This window comes from Homo sapiens, chromosome 1 (genome assembly GCF_000001405.40).
Source record: "Homo sapiens chromosome 1, GRCh38.p14 Primary Assembly".
NCBI lineage: Eukaryota > Metazoa > Chordata > Mammalia > Primates > Hominidae > Homo > Homo sapiens.
This window is the reverse complement of record NC_000001.11, coordinates 85,695,611-85,716,074: the sequence shown is the minus strand read 5'-3', so window position 1 is coordinate 85,716,074 and position 20,464 is coordinate 85,695,611. Positions and strand designations below refer to the sequence as shown.

The following is a 20,464-nucleotide window of genomic DNA, read 5'->3' as shown; positions in this document are numbered from 1 at the left end:
AGCTACATATGTAACTTCAAATTTTTTAATAACCACATTAAAAAACATAAGAGTTCAGGCACAGTGGCTCAGGCTACCCAGCACTTTGGGAGGCTGAGGCGGGCACATCACTTGAGGCCAGGAGTTCAAGACCAGCCTGGCCAATATGGCAAAACCCCATCTCTACCAAAAATACAAAACTGAGCTGGGTGTGGTGGTTCATGCCTGTAATCCTGGCCACTTGGGAGGCTGAGGCACAAGAATCGCTTGAACCTGGGAGGTGGAGTTTGCAGTGAGCCAAGATGGCGCCACTGCACTCCAGCTTGAGTGACAGAGCAAGACTCTGTCTCAAAAAAATAAAAAAATAAAAAGAAACAAGTGAAATTAGTCTTAACAATATACATAACAATATATCCAAAATAATATAACTTCAACATGTAATCAGTATAAAGGTATTATTGAGATGGTTTACATTCTTTTTTTAAATATACTAAGTCTTTGAAATCCTGTGTGTATTTTACGCTTACAGCACATCTCAATTTAGATAACCACATTTCAAGTGCTCAGTAGTCACTGTGGCTAATGGCTACCATATTGCAAAGTGCAGTTTTAATAACTTCGCCCAATGGTTCCCAAAGCTGTTTATACATCAAAAGTACCACTCAGATACACTTGTTAAAAATATAAATTTCCCAGCAACTCTCTCCATTTTGTTAAATACCTCTAGGGAGAGATCCAGAGATCTGTTTCTGATTAAGTACACCAGGTGATGCTGATGCAACGGTCCATGGACAAGCATATGCAGTTTCTGCATTGCCTCAAAGTTGTGAATATAATGAAACATTTAGGCATCCTGGAAAAATTTGAGTAGTGTGTTGCTGGAAATCAGGGACCCCAAACGGAGGGACCAGCTGAAGCCATGGCAGAATAACATAAATTGTGAAGATTTCATGGACATTTATTAGTTCCCCAAATTAATACTTTTATAATTTCCTATGCCTGTCTTTACTTTAATCTCTTAATCCCATCATCTCCATAAGCTGAGAATGTACGTCGCCTCAGGACCCTGTGATGATTGTGTTACCTGTACAAATTGTTTGTAAAACATGTGTGTTTGAACAATATGAAATCTGTGCGTCCTAAAAGAACAGGATAACAGCGATTTTCAGGGAACAAGGGAGCTAACCGTAAGGTCTGACTGCCTGCAGGGCCGGGCAGAACAGAGTCATATTTCTCTTCTTGCAAAAGCGAATAGGAGAAATATTGCTGAATTATTTTTCTCAGCAAGGAACAGCCCTGGGAAAAGAATGCATTCCCAGGGGGAGGCCTCTAAAATGGCTGCTCTGGGAGTGTCCGTCTTATGCAGTTGAAGATAAGGGATAAAATACGCCCTGGTCTCCTGCAGCGCCCTTAGGCTTGCTAGGATTAGGAAATTCTGGCCTGATGAATTCTAGTCAGAAGGGTTGTCTACTCTCAAACCCTGTTTCCTGTTAAGATGTTTATCAGTGACGATGCATGCACAGTGGGAAATGAAACCTCATCAGCAATTCTAATTTCGCTCTGGCCTTGTGATCTTGCTCTGCCCCCAATTGCCTTGTGATATTTTATTGCCTTTTGAAGCATGTGATCTCTGTGACCCACACCCTATTCGTACACTCCCTCCCCTTTGAAAATCGCCAATAAAAAGTTGCTGGTTTTGCAGCTTGGGGGCATCACAGAACCTGCTGACAGGTGATGTCACCCCTGGAGACCCAGCTATAAAATTTCTCTCTTTTGCACTCTTTCTCTTTATTTCTCAGACCTGCCAACACTTAGGGAAAATAGAAAAGAACCTACATTGAAATATTGGGGGCTGGTTCCCCCGATAGCAGTGTCATGGGAAGCCCAGAAGAAAGGATATTTGGGATATCCCTCAAATAATTTCACAAATTCTTTACCATACAGTATTGCTAAATAAAAAGTTCAATCTGGTAACTTCTTGTTTCTGAAAAGATAGCAAACTAACAAAGCTATTGTCTCCTGGAGTCTCCAAATCCATTCCTGAAGATGCCACATATATGGGGGGGAGGGGATAAATAATGAGCCTAACTAGGAAACTCTGAAAACCCTTAGGAGGTGAAAGGGAGTTGGGTCCATTGTGGTGGAGAAAGGAAAGCCTGGAGGGACAAAGAGGGACACTAATGGAGGTAGAGGGTGGATGAAAGGATAGAATCTCTGATTGTTCCCTTTTCTACCCTACATTAGCTTGGGTGGATCGTGGCCCACCTCAACTCAAGATGCTTATAAAAACACAAAGTTAGCCCAGCAAGTGTCCAAGGAGGCAGAAGAACACCAGGAAAGCTGATAACTGTGTATACCAGTTGGTTTAGAACAGTTGTCTTCTTCCCTCCACCCAAAAGTCTAGATGATTACCCAGAAGACAGCAGCTCTTGGAAATGGGATGGCAATGTGGGAGTACTGGAAGTTAACCTGAGAGGCGTATGCTCTTCATAGGAGGGCAGACTGGGGCTAGTGCAGCCCAGATTGTAACACCAGAGGCTTTCTACCATGATGCTCATCCACTCTTCTGCTTACCCTCCACACTGAAAAGAATAACCAGAAGAGTTGCAATCCAAATCCTATGCTTTTGATCCTACCTTTCAAATATGAATTACAACTATGCTTGCTAATACTCTCAAAGGAATAGGAGCTCACCAGAGAAAATATTATAAAATCTGGACTGTAATTCTAAAAGATTTTTTTAAGCTGGATAATTTATACTGGAGGGACAGAATTAATGGACAAAAAACTGAAGATTTTTAAAAGAGTCAAAAGTCGGGCATGGTGGCTCACGCCTGTAATCCCAGCACTTTGGGAGGCCAAGGTGGGTGGATCACCTGAGGTCAGGAGTTCAACACCAGCCTGGCTAATATGGCAAAACCCTGTCTCTACTAAAAATACAAAAATTATCTGGGTATGGTGGTGGGCACCTGTAATCCCAGCTACTGGGGAGGCTGAGGCAGGAGAATCACTTGAACCTGGGAGGCGGAGGTTGCAGTGAGCCAAGATAGCACCATTGCCCTCCAGACTGGACAACCAGAGCGAGACTCCATCTCAAAAAAATAAATAAATAAAACGAGTTAAAGGACTACCTTCAGAGAGATAAAAAGGGATATTAGAAATATGAAGCAAAATAAGCTACAGACAATGGTTATGAAAAACATAGTGACTGAAATGAGCTTAGTGGATAGGTTGACTAACAGATTGCATACCATCAAATACCAAAATAGTAAGGTAGAAATTACTTGGGGAACTCTCCCAGAAAGTATCTGGAAGCAATAAAGAGATGGGAAACATAAAAGTTAAAAGGTATGCAGAAAACTCTGATAACAAAACCTAACATTACAAGAAAAAAGAACTACAGATAAATAAACATCCTTCATAGACGAAAACTCCTAAACAAAATGTAAGTTAATTGAATACAATTATATAGAGATATTATAAAACATTTGAGTTTATTAAGGTTGCAGGATATGAAATCAAAATACAAAAATCAATTGTATTTCTGCAACCTAGCAATGAAAAATCCAAAATGAAATTAAATGAGTAATTTCATTCAAAATCACATCAAGGCCAGGTGTGGTGGCTCACGCCTGTAATTTCAGCACTTTGAGAAGCTGAGGTGGGCGGATCCCTTGAGCCCAGGAGTTTGAGACCATCCTGGGCAACATGGCAAAACCCCATCTCTACAAAAAATACCAAAAAAAATTTAGCTGGGCATGGTGGCATGCGCCTGTGGTCCCAGCTACTTGGGAGGTTGAGGTGGGAGAATAGCTTCAACTCAGGAGGTCGAGGCTGCAGTGAGCCATGATTTTGCCACTGTACTCCAGCCTGGGTGACAGAGGGAGACCCTGTGTCAATTTAAAAAAAAACAAAAACCACATCAAGAATAAAATGCTTAGGAATAAATTTAGCAAAAGATATGTAAAAACTTGTACACTGAAAACTACAAAGCATTGTTAAGTGAAGTTAAAGACAATATAAATAAATGGATGGCATTCCGTTTTCATGGATAAGACACAATGTTGTTAAGATGACAATCCTCCCCTCACTTATCTATATATTCCACACAATCCCTATGAAAATCCCACAAGTTCTTTTGTAGAAATTGACAAGCTGGCACTAAATACACAGAGATGCAAACAACCAAGAATAGCCAACACAATTTTCAAAAGAAAAGAAAGTTGGACTTACTATAAAGTTATAATAGAGTATGGTATTTGTGTAAGGATAGACATATAGATCAGTAAAACAGAATATAAGGTCCAGAAATAAATCTTTATCTTTGTGGTCAATTGATTTTTTTAAATATCAAGGCAATTCAAGGAAAAAGAATAGGCTTCAACAACTGGTGCTTGGACAATAAGATATCCATATTAAAAAAAAGAAACTTAAACCATTACCTTGTCCACCTTATGGATGATATCCTTAGTTCTGCCACATGTGGGTTCCACCAACCATGGATCAAATTTCCACAGCTGGTGGAACCTACAGATGTGGAACCATGGATGCAGATGGCAGATTGTAGGACTTGAGCGTTCTCAGATCTGTGGTGGTCCTGGAACCAATCCCCACAGAAACAGAGGGATGACTCTAGATACAAAAGCCAACTCAAAATGGATCACAGACCTAAATGTAAAAGCTAAAACTATAAAACTTCTAGAAAATATAGGAGAAATATCTCTTTGCAACCTTGGGCTAGGCAAAAAGTTATTAGTGTGACACAAAAAGCACCATTCATTTAAAAATTGAGAGGCTGGGTGCAGTGGCTCACTCCTGTAATCCCAGCACTTTGGGAGGTGGGTGGATTACCTGAGGTCAGGAGTTCGAGACCAGCCTGGCCAACATGGTGAAACTCCATCTCTAATAAAAATACAAAAATAATTAGTCAGGTGTGGTGGCACCTGCCTGTAGTCCCAGCTACTCGGGAGGCTGAGGCAGGAGAATCACTTGAACCCAGAAGGCGGAGGTTGCAGTGAGCAGAGATCCCGCCATTGCACTCCAGCCTGGGTGACAAGAGCGAGACTCCATCACAAAAAATAAAAATAAAAATTGATAAACTGGATTTAATTGAAGTGTAAAATTTTTGCTCTTTTAAAGATACAACTAAGAAAAGGAAAAGCCACAAACTGGGAGAAAATATTTGCGAACCATACAAGGAATTGGTATTAATTATGCATTGCTTTGTATCAATTATCCAGAAATTTGGCAGTTTAAAACAAGAAACATTTATCCCCTCCCACAATTTCTGAGTGTCCGGAATCTGGGTTCAGTTGTTGGCCAGAGCCGCAGTCATGTAAAGCTGGACTAAGACTAGAGAATCTTCCTCCAAACACATTCATATGCTATTGACAGGCTGAAATTCCTTGCTGATTGTTGGCCAGTGCATTCGTTTGCCAAGGCCACTATAATGAACTAGCATAGACTGAGTGACTTAAATTTATTTTCTCACAGTTCTAGACGCTAGAACTCCAAAATAAGTTGTCACCAGTCTTGTTTTTTTCTGAGGCCTCTCTCGCTGGCATGCAGGTGGCCACCTCACTGTATCATCGTATAGTCTTTTCTCTCTGCAGGCATCCCTCGTGTCTCTTTTTGTGTCCAAATTTCCTCTTCTTATAAAGATATCAGTCAGATTGGATTAGGGCCGACCTTAATGGTCTCATTTTAACGAAATCACCTTTAAAGGTCCTATCTCCAAATATACTCACAGTCTAAGGTACTGGGTGTTACGGATTTAACACACGAATTTGAGGGGACACAATTCAGCCTGTAAGAGCCAGTAACTTCGGCCCACTACCACATGGGCCTCTTGGTACTCACAACCTGGCAGCTTGCTTCCCCCAGAGTGAATGATCTAGGAAGGAGACCAAAAAAGCAAGAGCCTAAGGCAGAAACCACAGCCTTTCTCCAAACCTAATCTTAGAGGTAACGTATTACTTCTGCTGTATGCTATCAGTGACACAGACCAATCCTGGGATGATGCAGGAGCAGTCTACACATTGGTCTGAACACTGTGGGGGTGGAGAATCACTGGGGAACATACTGGTGCTTGTCTACCACAAACCTATATCCATAATATATGAAGAACTACTACAATTTGATAATAAAAGACGTCAATTAAAAATGGGCAAAAGATCTGAATAAACATTTCATTAAAGAAAATATCCAAATGGCCAGTTGGCAGATGAAAAGATGTTCAACATCATTAGTCATTAAAGAAATGTAAATTCTCAATGACGTACCCCTACACATCTATAATCAAATAACTGATAATACTAAGAATTGGCCGGGATGTAGAGAAATAGGAACCCTCAGCCAGTAGGAATGTAAAATGGTATAGCTACTTTGGAAAACAGTTTGGGCATTTCTTTAAAAATTAACATAAATTTATATGGCCCAGCAATTCCACTCCTAGTTATTTACTTAACGGGAAATGTAAACATGTCCACACAAAGACTTGCATATGAATGTGGAAGCAGAATTATTCGTAATAGCCCAAACTGGAAACAAGCCAAATGCCCACCAACTGGTACATGCATGAAAAAACGTGCCACATTCATACAATGCAATGTTATTCAGCAATACCGGGCATTAGGCACTTTCGCCTAATATATTTATGATGTTCTCTGAGAGAATCCTGCAGAATGCTGGGAATGGGGAATAGCCTGACGCAGGCTGTTACTTAGAAAGAATGGAAAGAAAAATTAATGCCCTCTTTCCTACTTGAAACCCATCATGATTCCCAGTTATACACTGAGTTTGTGTCTGTCACTGACAGTTGATTCCTATGCATGATCTCATATTATCTTCGCAATGACACTGGGAGATTTATATTAATAATACCATGCTCCCTAGTTTATAGCTTCAAGAAACTAAAGCTTGCAAAGGTGTAACATCAGGTGTGTCCTTTTTCATACAAGATTGGATTTAATGGTTAACACAGATAAGGGTGGGTTTTCCCATTTCCAGAGTGTAAGGGTTTCGCTTCTCTCCCTCTGCCGGTCTCCTCCACTGTTTACACCCAGTAGGGCGTGGAGGGTGGCCTAGGGTGTGGCCCAGGAGGCTTCCCTAAGGGAAGGGGGTGGTGGAAACCAGGCGGTTTGAAGCCCATCAGGATTCCCAGTTATATATCGAGTTTGTGTCCGTCACTGCTAGTTGATTTCCATGCATGATCTCATATAATCTTTGCAATGACACTGGGAGATTTATATTAATAATACCATGGTCCCTAGTTTATAGCTTTAAGAAACTAAAGCTTGGAAAGGCCTAATAACATCAGGTGTGTCCTCCATTTTCATGCAAGATTGGATTTAATGGTTAACACAGATTAGGGTGGGTTTTCCCACTTCCAGAGTGTAAGGGTTTCGCTTCTCTCCCTCTGCCGGTCTCCTACACTCTTTACACCCAGCAGGGCGTGGAGGGTGGCCCAGGGAGTGGCCCAGGAGGCTTCTCTAAGGGAAGAGGGTGGTGGAAACCAGGAAGGAGACGAGAACCCCAGCGGGCAAGTCACGCAGTTACGCTTGTTCGCCCAGAGAATCCGGCAGGGCCTCCGCAGAGCCGTAAAGAGCTCTACAAGTCGTGAAGGGGCGAGGCGCAAAAGCGTAGCTTTACGGCGATTCGAGCAGTCGCGTCAAGCAGGCTATTCCGGGTTTGTGGCTGCTTGGCTCCACACGTGGGCCGCCGTAGGTATTCCGACCGGTAATTCCTCCTATTGGTGTGCAGCAGCCACATTGAAGGATAGAGTGGCAGCAGAGGCCAAGGATCGTGAGTTGATGGAGTTTGCTGCTGAAAATGAAGGGAAGTCTGGGGGAGGTCTCCACAGCGTAGCTGAGGGGGTGCGGCTAAGTCCAGAGCCTGGCAGGGAGGGAGTAAGGGACTTAGCAGGGGCGGAGGAGTTCGGCGGCGGAGAGGAGGGGACAGGGCTGACAGGGATAAAGGAGATAGGGGATGGAGAGGAAGGAAGTGGACAAAGGCCAGAGGAAATACCGATGGACCTAACGGTAGTGAAGCAGGAAATTATAGACTGGCCAGGTACAGAAGGCAGGTTGGCTGGCCAGTGGGTAGAACAGGAGGTGGAGGATAGGCCTGAGGTGAAGGATGAGAACGCAGGCGTATTGGAGGTGAAGCAGGAGACGGATAGTAGTTTAGTGGTAAAAGAAGCGAAGGTGGGTGAACCAGAGGTAAAGGAAGAGAAGGTAAAGGAAGAGGTAATGGACTGGTCAGAAGTGAAGGAAGAGAAGGATAACTTGGAGATAAAACAGGAGGAGAAGTTTGTTGGTCAATGCATAAAAGAGGAATTGATGCATGGAGAGTGTGTAAAAGAAGAGAAGGATTTCCTGAAGAAAGAAATCGTGGATGATACAAAGGTGAAAGAAGAGCCTCCGATAAATCACCCGGTGGGCTGCAAGCGGAAACTGGCCATGTCAAGGTAGGGCATGGGGGATTCCATTTAGGGGAATAAAGCTGTGGAGTCCTCATGTCTAGAGTGAAGGAAACCACACTATCAGGAGAAGGTGGAATAATGAAAAATGAGCACAAGTTTGGGTTTCTGGAGTCAGACGGCGTTCGCGGGGGTGGGTTGGGAAGTGGAGGGTGTTGTACATGACAACACAACAAATTCAGTGAAAATACATGAAATTAGTAGTGTCCAATGGGTAATGGTCAAGTTAGGAAAGTGGAAATTCTGGGGACCAAAAGATCAGTTGGAACTGGATCTGGCTTGACTTAATATGCTCTTTACTCGGTATTCCTTTGAGAGAGAATAGAGATGAGAAAGTCTAATAAAACTAACAATGACAAAGTAGATTAAGTTAAAACTAGGCAAAAATACACTTGACCTCAATTATCAAGCTTCTTCATGGGTGCTGTGAATATTTATTGCTTTTGATTGAATTTCCTTAGTGTGTGGATCATGTGACAAAGGAAATAAGAGTAGTCAGATTCTTGAGAATATTCCCGTCTAGAACACAGTGGGCTAAATAGAAGTAACTGTAGTTTGGTTGTCAGTATCCCAGGAGCATAGAAGAGCAGTTGAGGACAGATGATGGGTTACATGGCATTTCTAGATTATTTCGATGCTCATTCTAGATTAGGCGTGGAGTTCAGGAAAAAGGGTGCTACTACTACTCTCTAAATTTCACTTGGCCTTATATTCTTTGTCTGGTGTGTGCTTTAAAAATATCTAAACATAGCTCATGAATTGGACTTCTGGATACACACACATACAATCATTACCACATTTCCAGGAATCACAAGTTAAAATATCAGTGAATAATCTCATTCCCTGATTATAGTAGAAAAAGAAGTCAAAAGCGAGATGGGTTTTAAAAATTTTAATACATTTTCCTGAGTTACATATCACTAACAACATTGGAAATGTAGTTGTTTTGGGAAGGTTTCATAGAGAAGAATTTTCAAATGATGTTCAACAGCTATCAAATATTTTATCAGTTACTTGTCACTGAGTTTATAAATTGATTGGGAATTCTAAGTTTATAAATAAATACAATTAATATTTGATAATTTAATGTTACATGTGGGCTTTTGTAGGTGTGAGACTTGTGGTACAGAAGAAGCAAAGTACAGATGTCCACGTTGTATGCGATATTCCTGCAGGTATACATGTAACTTCCTACCTTTTAACCTGTATCTGTACCTTTCTTACCCTAAAATATAAAAGTACTTCCCCTTTGTCTTTTCAGTTTGCCCTGTGTAAAGAAACACAAAGCAGAACTGACATGTAATGGAGTTCGAGATAAAACTGCATACATTTCAATACAACAGTTTACTGAAATGAATCTCCTAAGTGGTAAGCCACTTTATGCATAGCAAATTGAGGCTTCCTGGCCATTGGTATATGTCACTTGTTTATTCTTCTGTTTTGAAATTTTTAGATTATCGATTTTTGGAAGATGTGGCAAGAACAGCGGACCATATTTCTAGAGATGCTTTTTTGAAGAGACCAATAAGCAATAAATATGTAAGATTTTTTCCTAATTTCTTCCAGTTAGAAGTCCTTCAAATCAATTAGATTCTTTTTTTTTTTTTAACTTACCAAATATATTAAGTGGCTACCATGATGTAGAGCTATTCTGATTACTTAAGGATATGGCTGTGACCCAAACAAAGTCCGTCCCCTCGTGGAGTTGTATTTAGTGGGAGATATAGGAGATAAGTAGAGGAACAAATGTAATTTCAGATAGAGTTAAGTTCATATAGAAAATAAAGAAGGCTCAAGAGATTAAAGAGAGAATGAAAATGGTCTTTGTTGGGGAGAGATTGTCAGGGTACTATTTTCGATACAGTGGTCAGGAGAAGCTTCTCAAAGAGATGATGTGTAAGCAGTGATCTGAGTGCTGAGAAAGAGGCTGTCATGTGAACATTTGGAGGCAGATTATCCCAGGTAGGGACAAAAGTAAAAGGAAAGACCTGAGTCAGAAACAAGGATGTCTGGTTTGAGGAATTAAAAGATTTGCAAGGTAACTGAAGCATAGTGAGTGAGGAGGAGAGTATTGAAAATGAAGTTAGAGAAACTGGTGAGGAGTTGGGTGCAGTGGCTCATGCCTGTAATCCAAACACTTTGGGAGGCTGAGGCCAGAGCATTCCTTGAGCTCAGGAGTTCAAGACCAGCCTGGGCAACATGGTGAAAACCCGTCTCTATAAAACAATACAAAAATTAGCCAGGCGTGGTGGCGTGCCCCTGTACTCCCAGCAACTTGAGAAGCTGAGGTGGGAGGATCACCAGAGCCCAGGAAGGTCAAGGCTGCAGTGAGCCATGATTGCGCCACTACACTCCAGCCTGGGCAACAGAGTGAGACTCTGTCTCAAAAGAAAAAAGAAAAGAAACTGGTGAGGGTTTCTAATTCTAAGTGCAAATGGAAACCATGGAAGGGTTTTGAACATAAATTTGCCTTTTGAAAAACCACTCTTGCACTTTGTGAACTTTAGCGGGGCAAGAATGGAAGATTGGAAGCAGGGAGACCAATTATGCAGCTCTTCCCATGATCCTTGTGAGATAATAGTGGCTTGGGTGTACTGTTTGAATTATTGGGAAGGGATTAGATTGCGATTTTGAAGGAAGAGCTAACAAGACTTGCTATTCTAATACACTTAATTTTCATACTCTTGCATTCCTTTTTTAATTCCTTAAATACTATGCAAAATTAAAGCTTACATATTTGGAATATTTGGCAACTGGTGTTGTAGAAATTTGTTTATGGTGTGATTAAATCGTATCCTGGAATTGTGTTCATTTTAGTATTGGAGTTGCAGAATTTTAATACCTTTTAAACACCTTATTTTATTGGTATTATTGGTACAGACATAATTACATTACACATATCTGAAAGAAAATTATTCATATAGCAACTCTTATTTTTCCTCAAACTTAATTAGGCATAATTAAAATTCTACTTAAAGATAAATTACTTTACAATTTTTTTTTAAATTGTGAAATATAGCAAGTATATTTTCTAAACATCACAAAATGGAAATACACAGTATAATGAATAATTATAAAATGAATATTCATTTAACTACCACCCCAATCTAGAATTAGAACATTACTGGCTTCCCAGAAGTTCCATGCCACCCTTTTATGCCCTTCCCTGATCTTTTCTCATTTCTTTATATTTTTTTCTATCTTAGGACTGTACCACAATTTGTTTACGCATTTTTTTAATGGATTTTGGATTTTCTGTAAGAATAAAAAACAGTTTAGAAACAATGCCACTACTTTTGTCTATGAATTATAGTATGTGTGTGAACATGTGTTTCTAGGGTTTATACCTGGGAATAGAATTGCTTTGTTGTGTGGTATGCATATCTTCAATTTGCCTAGATGTTACCAAAACATTTTCCAAAGTGATTGTACTAGTTTACACTCTCACCAATAGTGTATGAATGTACCTATTGTCATATTCTCGCCAATACTTAGTTTGGTAAGACTTTAAAAATTTTTGTCAATCTGTTGGCTTTGTAATTTTATTGTGGTTTTAAATGTGCAGTTCTTTAATTCCTGATGAGATTGAACCACCTTTCAAATACTTTATTGGCCATTTGGATTTCCTCTTTTATGCAGTGCCTGTTCAAGTCTTTTGCTCATCTTTTCATTGGTCAGCTTTATTTTTCTTACTGGTTTGTGAGAATTCTTGGTATTTCTTGGATGCTAGTGCAAGTTGGTTGTATGTTATAAATACCTTCTTCTAGTCTTTGTCTTGTCTTTTCATTTTATAGTGTCTTGTGGTGAATGGATGTTCTTAGTTTTAATGTAGTCAAATTTATCATTTGTTTCCTTTATAGTTAGTAGGTTTATATGTTTATAAAGAAATCCATCTCTACCTTGAAGTTAGGAAGTTATTCTTTTATAGTTATTGCCTAAAAGCTTTATACTGTTGTGTTTTACACTTATGTCTTTAACTGGAATTGATTTTTGGTATCATATACAGAGGAGTTCCCATTTAATTTTTCATATAGATAATCCACTTTTCCCAGCACCATTTATTGGAAAGTTCATCCTTTCCCTATTGCTCTGTAGGACCACCTTTGTCATATATCAGCATCCCTATATGCTTGGGTCATTTTGTGGCCTTGTCTTTTCCATTCTGTTGGCCTACTGGTATATCCTGCACCAATACTATGCTCTCTGAATTATTGTGGTTTTTTACTGAAACTTGTTATCTGATTAAGTCCTCCCACTTTTTTTCTAGAGTATGGCTATTCAGTGCTGTTTTCAAGGCAAAATAATTGCAAATCTAAGCAAGGGATGGTCCATAGCCATAACTGCTAATGGATTTTTTTTCTTTTTTCCTCTGTTTCAGTGTAACCATACAAGTTTCCTAGCTTGCTCTAAAAGTAGAGATTGTTTCTGGTTCACCCTTATCCTGAAGGTATATTAGGAGGGTTGGTCACTGCTATTAGAATTATTATAATTATCACTACCATTACTGAAACTAAAGTCCTCTAAATTATAAAATTACATGTAATTTCTTAAAACAGTTTCCTACTTAGCCAATGATAGCTGACCCATCCTTTCCTTGGCTTATGGACTTGATTCTGACTGTTTACATTGCAAATTCTAGATCCCTATTCACTTAACAAAAAACTTGCGTTTATATTTTGCCTCTTATTTGAGTGATCTTTCTTCTTCCTTGACTTAATAAAAATCTGGTATTACTTCCTTCATAACTCTGGAATTGCCCAGTTTAGCTTAATCAACCCAGGTGGTCAATGTAATAACACATGTCAGAGCCAGAATGTTCTCATATCCCATTTTGTGCTTCCCACAACAGTGGTTACTTTAAGCTAGGCCTTGTACTAGGCAATGCCTTGGCTCTTCCCTTGAGTGAGCTGTCTAGTAATAAAATCAGTGATATATATATACAGCTAACTGGTAAAACCATCGGTAAAAGAAATCAAGAATTGTGTAGGTAGCCCCCGTGATTGCCAAATGACCTGTGTTTTTGTTTGTTTAATCTCCATTAAATTCTTCTTTGGCTCACAGAACATATGGTTAGAAACACAAGCTCTGGAATTAGACAGACCAGGGTTTGAATACAGGTTCTATCTCTCTGGGATAGCTGTATGATGTTGGGATCTCACTAATTTTTATTGCTAAAATGGAGATGATAGTACCTATTCTCATAGTATCATGGTGAAGATTACATGAGATTACTGCTTAGAGCTGTTGTAACACTTAGGTTCTCAGTAAATCTTAACTATTATTGAACATTGTTTTACTCACTTTTTAAATTTAAGGAATTTAAAAATTAATTTGTCTGTTTGGTTTTTGTTGTTAGATGTACTTTATGAAAAATCGTGCCCGGAGGCAAGGTATTAACTTAAAACTTCTACCCAATGGATTCACCAAGAGGAAGGAGAATTCAACCTTTTTTGATAAGAAGTAAGTTTCTAACTTTTTAGTATATCAGGTATTCTGATTTGATCAGGATCATTCTTTAAGGTTTGGTTGCTATAGAGCATTGCTACCCCAAGTGTGGTTCTGTAAACTGTTTGTTATTGGTCCATGACAAGATAACTGTAGTAATTGTATGTCATGTAACTCTAATAAAAATTTGGGTTTGCAGTGTGTGCGTGTGTGTGTGTGTGTGTGTGTGTCTTCATATCATTTGAGAAGCTTCTCAAACATTAATGTGCATACCAGTCACCTAGGCATCTTGTTAAGTATGCTTGTTGTGATTTTTCAGTAGGCCTGGGTTGGAGTTTGATATTGGGCATTTCTAACAAGCTCCTCAATGATGCTCATTGTTTGAGAAACATATTTTGAGTAGCAGCGCCCTGGAACACTCTCATACATTAGAAATAAACTGTTTCTTTGAGAACTAAGATACCAAGAAAGTATTTCAGGGGCTTCCAGGACAAAACGAGTAAAAACAGGACGCCTGTACTGTTTTAATCAAGGCAGCTCTGCTTTTATTTTCTTTCTCCACTGGGTTTCCAAATAAGATTTCAATTAAAAGCTGTCAATGTAGAAGAAGGGGACTTTGAACTCTTGAGTACAGATAATATAACAGAGATTAGTTTGCTGCTGTCTGAAAATGTTGGGTTGAAAAGGCCCCAAGAGTACAGAAGAGAACAGGATCCCAAAGTTCTTTAAGTAGCCAACTAAATTATCAGATAATACCTTTCAGAAGTCAAGATTTTGGATTTAGAATTTTTAAAAACTTGAGGGAGTCCCTCCCTTTTCAGCCTCTTAGTAACTGTGGGGCCTTGAACAAATCAACTTCCTTTCTCTGGGCCCCAGTTGTATGATGTGGGGAGTTGACCCGGGTAAACTACGGAGCCTTTCCAGTTGTACTCTTCCAAAAATTGAAAAGACAAAGCCATCAGAATTATCATTATTCTAGTGAAGCTTCTATCTTTTCAAAGCTGTTATCATAATTAGAAGATGACGTTTTCCATTTATTTTATATAAGACATAAACATTTGTAAAAATGGTTTTTCGTTTTTCCTGGTTGTCTTCGAAAAGTAAAGTAATGCTGAAGCAGGTGGATCCCTTGAGGCCAGGAGTTTGAGACCAGCCTGGGCAACATGGTGAAACCTCGTCTCTACTAAAAATACAAAAATTAGCCAGGTGCAGTGGCACCCACCTGTGATCCCAGCTACTCAGGAGGCTGAAGTGGGAGCATCCCTTGAGCACAGGAGGCGGAGGTTGCAGTGAGCCAAGATTGCACCACTGCACTCCAGTCTGGGTGACAGAATGAGACCCTGTCTCAAAAAAAAAGTAAAGTAATGTCTTGCATTTATCAAATGTGAGATGATTCTTTTGTGCGTTTTGAAACTGGCATATTTAGAAATTGACATAATTTGAAGTTTATGGTAACTGGTTAGAAGTTTATGGTAACTGGTTAGTGCTTTCTCAAATACAAAATGTGTTCCTGTTTTATGAAAGAAACTATTCAGAATGATTGTAATCAGAGATTAGTTCTCAGTAATGAAAAGCAGATGGCCTCAAGTATAACATTTTTGTGTCTGTAGGTACATGAATGTATGCGGGAAGTTTTTACCGAGAATATTACACTCAGTATATTTTCCAGGTTTAATATATTTTTGGTTGTTTTGAAACTCCCCGGGTCTCTGAAATGGCAAATCAGATTCTTCTTGCATAAGTCTTTTGCTCATAAATTTATAGAGATTTGTGATCAGTTTTCTTACATTTTTAGTGTTTCCCAGGAGGAGATTAGCAACATAGTATGTACTAATAGGCTTTAGAATCCATTTCTTAGTCTTTTACCGTCTGCAAAATGGAGCTCATGATAGCTACCTTGTAGAGTTGTGGCCTTTTAGTGTATTAATTCACATAGGCAGTAACTGGCATGTGGGAAGGAATCAGTTTATAGTAGCTATTGTAAAAATAATACATCTGTATCATTAAAAAGTTTAAAGGAAAAATATCACCTATAATTCCACTATCTAGAGTTGACCACTAATAAAATTTCGTAACATTTCCTTCTAATCATGTTTTCTCCTTTTTTCATCTAATAAAGTAAAACATAATATAAAATACTTAAAACTATATAAAGTGACATGACTCTGCTCAAGTTAAACATTAATTTTTTATGAATAAATGCACCTCCTTTTTTCCTGCAGCTAGATTTTCCATTTAGCAATACATTGTGAACCTCTTTTCTTGTTAATGCAAATCTGCCTCATTCTTTTTAAATAGGGTATTCCACCTTTGACTATATCTCATTTCATTTAATTATTCCGATATTCATGAACATTTATTTTATGTCTTGTTTTTAATTATTATACATAACACGGTATTAAACAGCCTTGAACAAATTGTTTTGTGTGCTTACCTGACTTTTTTTTGTAGGATCAATTCCTAGAAAGCGGAATTACTGGATTAGAGAGTACAATGTATTTAAACTTTTGAGAAAAACTCTACATTGTCTCCATAAAACATTACCACTTTGTACTTTCATCAAGAAAGTATGAGTGCCTATTTTAGTTATACCTTAACTTTTGTTGAATATTACCAAATTTTTTTGTGGGCAGCTTTATTAGAGAGGTTGAGCTCTTGGATTTTTAATTTCTTGTTAAGACATTGCCAGATGTCCACTGCAGGAGGCAGAATCACCCCCATTTGAAAAGCACTGATTTACATAAATACAGAAGATGTACTTATTGAATGTATAGTTCTAATCTTTTCTTGGTCCAGATAATTAACATAATGTAGACAGAATCAGGATTCTGGTGTTTTATACTTCACCTTTAAGAGGAAAAAATAGACATTTAAGAGTTACTTTGTTTGAGATATTTGTGTCTTATCAGCTGTTCATATGAAAATGAGCAAGGTTTTAGATGATTGCAATGGTATTTGCTGGAAAGAGGGAAGAAGGGGAAATGAAATTTTTTCAAAGAATTCTGTTCAGCTCCCATGCCCCCAGTATTCTAAGAGACTAGTTTTCAATACTTTTTTCTATTAACTTTTCAAAAGTTGGTTATAGCTTTGACTCTGATAAATGTAAATTTTCATGTTGTCTCTACTATTTGATTATACATTAGGTGACCTTGGGCAAAATCTGACTTACCAGGTTATTGAGAGGATTAAATGAAATTTTAATACCAACTAAAGTAGTACCTGGCACATACTAAATAATATACAGTGACAATGAAAATTTACATTCCCTTCACTGAAATCCTTAGGAATATGCCACATTTACTGTATATTCCATTCACCCCTCATAGGTCTGGGATAGCACTGTGTAATCAAACAGTACTATTTGTGCAGTGAAACCTATAAATGTTTACCTTATAATGGGTAAATAATGACTATAGATTTATTCAGTTAGGTTTTGCTGCTGAAGGAGTTAAAAATCTTTCAGTTTTGGAGATTTTGGAATTGTTGATATGAGAAGTTGGTCTTGTCCTAAGATTATTAATACTCCCTAGGTATTAAATTGATTGCTTGTTTAAGCAACTTGAGTTGCAATATAGTCAAAATCTCAAGTTGATGTCGCTTAAAATTTACATGTTTTCACTTTTGAGGAATCTGAATGAAGAATCTTTTGTACTGTTTTTGTAACTTTTCTATAAAGTCTACATTTATTTTTTTTAAAAAAAGTTTTAAATGTAAAAGCCCGTATATGAAGTGTGATGAATGTGCCATTGTACCTGAATTACTCTGTAGACCTATCAGAAGGTGATTGTAGCAGCTGACTGGGATAGGTTCATTCTAATCCAGACACCCTTTATGGCAGGCATTTTCACTGACTCTCCTAAAATTATATGTGAAATTATGTGATGTGTGAATTTTTCTAAGAATAAGTACTGCAATTTTCACTGAATAGTCAAAGTGAGGTGAAGTCTGTGAAGTCAAAAATAGATGCAATGAGGATGAATTTTAGAGGACTATTTTAGAGGAATTTGCAGGAGTACCACAGTGGATAGCTGTAATCAATAAAGTTCAGTTCAGGGAGGCTTATGTAAGTTGAGCCCAAGCAAGGTTGACATTCTCTGTTAAAAATAGAGAAGCTTGATAAGGAAATGTTGGCTCTCCTCCTTATTTTGGAGTAGATCCCAAGCTACTTTAAAATAGTGGCTTTTTCAGAGGTAATTCCTTTACCTCACCTCTTTGTAGGGTCTATAGCTTTATGTTCACTTTCACCCAGTACTAATCAAATCTGTTGAAAGAAATATGAAAGACCTATATGAAGAAAATGTAAATTCTCCTGAATGACTTAAAAGATTTGAATAAATGGAAAAAAGTGCCATATTCTTAAAAAGCTCAATATTGTTTCTTAAGTGATCTTTTAAGTCTGATGCAATCCTAGTCAGAATATCAATGGGATTTTGTTTGTTGTTATTTATTAATAAGACAGTTCATAAATAACTGAAGTTTATTTTGAAGAATAACATGGCAGAGGTGCCTGGAAAAATCTGAAAAAAGAATGATGAGGCTGGATTCATTAAAATTTATGAAATTATAGTAGTTTTATGGTGTTGGCCTAGAAATCTGTAACTAGATCATAGAAAATAAATAGTATATTTGGTTTGCTGGTATATGATCAAGGTAACATTTCAAATTAGTACAAATAATTGCTTATTCAATAAATAGAGTTGAAACAGCTTGCCATTTGAGAGGAAATGCTGAATCTTTTACTAAATAACATCCAGGTGGATCAAAATCTTAAAATGAAATAAAAATACTGGAATATTTTCATAATTTGAAGAGAAGAAACATCCCATCCAGAAGCCAAAAGGAAAATAATAACTAAATTTGCATGGCAAAAAAGACCATAATAAAGTGAAAAGACTGGACCAAAAAAGTCTTTAACATATATGACACAGAGTGCTTATGCATTATTAAGAAAAAAAGACTAGCAACTAATTAGGAAAGGGGCAGAGGATAAGAATAGATGGTTGGCCGGGCACGGTGGCTCACGCCTGTAATCCCAGCACTCTGGGAGGCTGAGGCAGGTGGATCACGAGGTCAGGAGATCCAGACCATCCTGGCTAACATAGTGAAACCCCGTCTCTACTAAAAAAAAAAAAAAATACGAAAAATTAGCTGGGCGTGGTGGCGGGCGCCTGTAGTCCCAGCTACTCGGGAGGCTGAGGCAGGAGAATGGCGTGAACCTGGGAGGCGGAGCTTGCAGTGAGCCGAGATTGCGCCACTGCACTCCAGCACTCCAGCCAGGGAGACAGAGCCAGACTCTGTCTCCAAAAAAAAAAAAAAAAAGAATAGATGGTCATAGAAAGATATGTGTACATACATGGTATTTAGCTGATAAACATTATAATAATATCTAATATAATGAAAGTATGGATTAACCAGGCCATTTTCCTCTTCCATTGTTGATAGTTAAATTGGTACAGTCATTTTTAGAAGGCAATTTGGTAATGTTTCTCAGAATGTTATATATTTTATTGTATAAAATGTATATTACATCTTAAAATGTTATAAGTAAGTACTCAAGGAATTTAGCCTACAAACGTATTTGTAGATGATCTATAGTCAGGAGATATATGTACACATATATCTATTGCAGTATTGTTTTTAGTAGTGTAAAAACTGGCACCAACCTAAAGTATCCTTCAGTATGGACTGAGTTAAGTAAATGATGGCACCTTCATACCATGGAATTCCATGCAGCCATTAAGCAAAAACAATTAGACGTAGAAGTATTGTCATGGAATACTATCCATGACATGTTCAGTGAAAAAAAAGAATTGGAGTTTAAAACAATTGTCTGAAAGATTAGGAAGCTCACTTTAAATTGGTGTTTCTAAAGCAAGATGCCATCTCCACAGAAAATTTAAAAATTAGCTAGGTGTGATGGTGAATGCCATGATTGCACCGTTACATTCCAGCCTGGGCGACAGAGTGAGACCCTGTCTCTAAAAAAAAAAAAAAAATGCAGTTAATAAATTAGCGATTATTTGGATCTGAATCCCTTTGGGAATCAGCTTAAATATGAGTTCTATTTGATATATACTTTGTGTCTGTTAGATAAGAAAAACTTCACAGATGAACCATGCTGTTTTTTGTTTGTTTTGAGACAGAATCTTGCTCTGTCACCCAGGCTGGAGTGCAGTGGCACGATCTCAGCTTACTGCAATCTCTGCCTCCCGGGTTCACACCATTCTCCTGCCTCAGTCTCCCGAGTAGCTGGAACTACAGGCACATGCCACCACACCTGGCTAATTTTTTGTATTTTTAGTAGAGACAGGGTTTCACCCTGTTAGCCAGGATGGTCTGGATCTCCTGACCTTGTGATCCGCCCGCCTCGGCCTCCCAAAGTGTTGGGATTAAAGGCGTGAGCCACCGCGCCCGGCCTGAACCATGTTGTTTTGTCCCCTCTGGTAGTAGAGTTTGGACTGAAGCTGTTAATGTTGATTAAGGACATGCTAAGAAATAGCTCTTAGAATCTTGCTGAACTTTCTTTAAGGGCATTACATGTTACTCTAACCAGTGGTCTCC

The 20,464-nt window shown here is 38.5% G+C and overlaps 1 protein-coding gene across 5 annotated transcripts in view, besides 4 other annotated features; it reads left to right on the top strand.

The window, feature by feature from the left end:
• Positions 6,719-7,551: an enhancer, noted in NCBI's record as "H3K27ac hESC enhancer chr1:86174207-86175039 (GRCh37/hg19 assembly coordinates)". NCBI's record gives its function as "activates a minimal SCP1, AML or CMV promoter by ChIP-STARR-seq in naive H9 embryonic stem cells {active_cell/tissue: H9 hESC(naive)}" and the evidence as "EXISTENCE:reporter gene assay evidence [ECO:0000049][PMID:30033119]".
• Positions 7,490-7,849: an enhancer, noted in NCBI's record as "active region_1272". NCBI's record gives its function as "activates an Ori minimal core promoter by ATAC-STARR-seq in GM12878 lymphoblastoid cells {active_cell/tissue: GM12878}" and the evidence as "EXISTENCE:reporter gene assay evidence [ECO:0000049][PMID:35858748]".
• Positions 7,490-8,385: a biological region, named in NCBI's record as "H3K27ac hESC enhancer GRCh37_chr1:86173373-86174206".
• Positions 7,552-8,385: an enhancer, noted in NCBI's record as "H3K27ac hESC enhancer chr1:86173373-86174206 (GRCh37/hg19 assembly coordinates)". NCBI's record gives its function as "activates a minimal SCP1, AML or CMV promoter by ChIP-STARR-seq in naive and primed H9 embryonic stem cells {active_cell/tissue: H9 hESC(naive and primed)}" and the evidence as "EXISTENCE:reporter gene assay evidence [ECO:0000049][PMID:30033119]".
• The window catches only part of ZNHIT6 (zinc finger HIT-type containing 6), a 59,017-nt gene continuing 46,194 nt past the window's right edge, over positions 7,642-20,464 (top strand). For 4 of the 5 annotated variants that reach the window (XR_007061268.1, XM_024447736.2, NM_017953.4 and 1 more), the window contains exons 1-5: positions 7,642-8,446; positions 9,568-9,633; positions 9,720-9,826; positions 9,912-9,997; positions 13,815-13,918. Coding sequence is in view for 4 of the 5 variants with exons in the window: in XM_024447736.2 (XP_024303504.1) it covers positions 7,791-8,446; positions 9,568-9,633; positions 9,720-9,826; positions 9,912-9,997; positions 13,815-13,918 (1,019 nt within the window). In the remaining variant the exon portion in view is untranslated. The remainder of the gene's footprint in view (positions 8,447-9,567; positions 9,634-9,719; positions 9,827-9,911; positions 9,998-13,814; positions 13,919-20,464) is intronic. The other variant, NM_001170670.2, reaches the window with a different exon arrangement.